The sequence below is a fragment of the Homo sapiens genome, chromosome 20 (genome assembly GCF_000001405.40).
Source record: "Homo sapiens chromosome 20, GRCh38.p14 Primary Assembly".
NCBI lineage: Eukaryota > Metazoa > Chordata > Mammalia > Primates > Hominidae > Homo > Homo sapiens.
The window spans coordinates 18,836,696-18,840,336 of record NC_000020.11 but is presented as its reverse complement, the minus strand read 5'-3'; positions in this window follow the sequence as shown (position 1 = coordinate 18,840,336).

Sequence of the window (3,641 nt, the reverse complement as noted above, 5' to 3'; positions counted from 1 at the left end):
CCCTCCATTCATCACCCGCCATTGTTTCTGATTACAGTTTTTGCTCCCGTCCATCTTACATCCTTACATTAATCCTTCCAATTCGGGGCAATTTTACCATATTGTGTTTGCTAATTTCCCATTTAGAGCAATATGCAAACAGGTTCCCACTGCTTCCTGAATGGCTCAGAAGCCAGCTGAACAGTCAAGACATGAGAATTCTTTGCTTCTGGAGTCTGCCTTTGTGAAACAGGATTAGCTTTGAAATACAGACATACCAGAAGCAGGGTAGCAGCTGCTTCCATAGAAAAACAGGGGAGTCAGGACAGGGGAAGCGGTGCTGAGCGGAGTGGTACATGGCAAACCACTAATTTTGGCTCTCAGCTCAGAGATTGACACCAAAGGCAGAAGTAACTGCTTTGCTTCTCTCCTCTTTCCCTTATCAGGCTCAGTAACAAAGGAGTTTTTCTTTGTTCCCTCCCTTGAGAAATGAAGTTAGCGATAGTGGAGTGTGAACAGCCTGGCATGACCAAAATGCCCACCCACCCACATGCCCTTGGAAGATGTCTCTGAGTCACCAGGAAATGGGGATTATAGCCTAGGCCACCCAACAGACAGAATAACAATTGTGTATAGCTCTGTAACACATTTGTCTAAAGCAATTTCTTTAGCTCGCAATTCTGTGAGTCAGAACTTTAGGCTGGGCTCAGCTGGCGATTCTACTGGTCTCAGCTGGCTGCCCCCATATGTCTGCAGCTGCAAATTGGCTTTGTTGGTCTTGTCCGGGCTTTCTCACATGTATGGGCCTCAACTGGGACTAGTTGGCTCTGGAGCATTAGCTCCCTGGTCCCCCAGCAGGTTACTCTGGATTATTTTCATAGTAGAGAAAGGGGTTCAAAGAAAACAAGCAGAAACATGCAAGCCCTCTTAAAGCACAGTCCCAGAATTGGCCTACCTTCTCTTCTACTACATTCTACTAGTTAAAGCAAGTAAAAAAGCCAGATTCAGGGGGCATACAAATAGACTCCCTTCTCAACGGGAGGAGCTGCAAAGTCACATTGCAAGAGAGATGCATACAGCAAGGAATGAACAAGTGTGGCCATTTTTGCAACCTTCTGCAGCCAGCCACAGGGATTCTTTGCCCAGTCATCTACTGTCCCATAGCTGTGAAGACAGACTGAAAAGATCTTTTATAATGCAATTTTGCTCAAAGAACACCCAAGGTCTATCCCCTCCAAAATTCAAGGAACTCCTTCATCATGACACGTCAATCTCAACACCAACAACTGCAGAAGCAGCAACATTGCAAAACCCAAGTCTTGGTGGAGAAGGATTCTAGGGGTTCAGCAAAAACAGAAAATGACCTTAGGTAGTTTTAGAAAGAAATTTATTAAAATGGAAAGTATTGTCAGTCACAGTGGCTCACACCTGTAAGTCTCAGCACTTTGGGAGGCTGAAGTGGGAGGATCACTTGAGCCTAGGTGTTCAAACTAGCCTGGGCAGCATAGTGAGACCCCACCACTACAAAAATAAACAAAATTAGCTAGGTCTGGTGGTGTGCACCTGAAGTCCCAGCTACTTGGGAGGCCTAGGTGGGAGGATCACTTGAGCCCAGGAGATCAAGGCTGCATTGAGCAGAGATCACACCACTACACACAAACCTGGGCAACAAAGTGAGACCCTGTCTCAAAAATAATAATAATAAATAAAAAATGGAAAGGATTAAAAGATCAAAAAGAGAGGATGCTGATGCACCCAAAGACTAGAAATGGCTAATCATGAGACCTTTAAATTTGGAAAAGATTCTTTCTTTCTTCTTTCTTTCCTTCTTTCTTTCTTTCTTTTTTTCTTTCTTTCTTTTTCTTTTGAGATGAAATCCTGCTTTGTCGCCCAGGCTGGATTGCAGTGGTGTGATCATAGATCACTAGAGCCTTAAACTCCTGGGCTCAAGTGATTATCCTGCCTTATAAAGGGTTATAGCCTGTGAGGTGGCCATCCTGACAGGTTGGGAAGCAGCCTCCCACAAAGACCTTTAGCAGGCACTTTGAAGGAGGAAAGGGTAAGATAGGAATTTTTACTGAGCGGGTTGGCCAAGTATAAATATTCAACAGGTTATAGGATGCTCCATGAATATTCATGACAGGGGAATCTTAACACATGCATACTGAATAAACATGTATGTTACATATGACCCGTGTTCACCTTGGGGTGGAGACTTAACATGAACTGTATTACAATTAGGCCCTATACGGCAAAAGGTGAAGCAGGGATACAAAGACACTTAAGTGTGCAGGCTCTGTAAAACCAGCCAGAGCCGGTCTGTTGTCAATGGTCTTTAATCAGGAGTAAGTTACAGAAATCAGTCTCTTGTCCAATCAAAGCTATAAAGATGACTTGTGGAACAGTAGGTGGAGGTCAGCATCTGGTGGCAGCTGAGCTGCAACTGTTTCAATATTGCTTATCTCAAGACCGGTGCTTGTTTAGCTGATAGAGAGAAAGAAAAGCCTTGTGGCAGGTAGAACACAGTTTATTCTTCTAGTGTAGTTCTTTGCTTGTATGACTTAACCCTTGCCTGGCACAGCCTTAGGTCCTATTTTGGTATCTTATTGCCACAGAGAGCCTGTACTGTCAGTGGTATGATCTCTATTTTAACATTAATGCTGGTAGTTGTGTCTAAACTGCAAAAGGGCAGGGGTAATAAGGTGTGTATGACCTCCCATCCTGTCATGGCCAGCAACTCAGTTTTTTAGGTTTCTCTGGGGTCCCCTTAGCCAAGAGGGAGTCCATTCAGTCAGCTGCAGGGCTTAGGATTTTATTTTTAGTCGTCAGAATTCATTAACATACCTAGGTCTGAGCTGGAATCCAGTGAGTGCTAGAGCATTGAGGGGTCAAGTGGTGGGTGGAGGGCAGGGACCAGACAGAGCTATAGTCGTGGAAAGACACAGCCACTTCCAACTATTTTCACAGTTGGAAACTGAAACCATGGATAAGGAGAACTACCATATTGAGTGTTGTGTGCCCAGACCTATTTAAGTTTTTGCCTACCTAACCATATTAAGCTTTCACAACAACTCTATGTAATGGATGCTATCACTATTTCCCTTTCACAGATGAGAAACTGAGGCTCAGAGAGGTTAGGCAACTCACCCATGGTCATAAAGCTGGTGAATGGCAGAGCCAGGATTTGAACCCATGCAGTACATAAACTCCTGCCCAAAAGGCTTTACTGCCTATGGCAAAGCGTGGTCCCAGCAGATTTCCTGGGACACTGCAGGATTCTAAAGTGTCTCACATGTCACTCTGTTTGCTTCAATTACATTTACCTGATGATAATCTGTTTTGAAAACTGGTCATTGATGTGTGCTAAAAACAAAAAAAAATAGCCAGATTATTGTCCAGATTTTTATCAGACAAGGTTTGTTATTTACAATCTAGATTACTACCTGTGTAGAATTTTAACATTCACTACATTTCTTAAGCACTTACCCTCTGGGTGCTGAGATAAAGACTGTGTAAGTATCATCTCTACAAATCTTCATAATAACATAAGGAGGTACATATAGATCATCACCATCGCCATCATTAACATCATCCCATTTTATAGAAGAAGCTCACAAGAACCCTTCAAGTGCATTATTTTGTGCTCTGTAGCCAAAGTACAT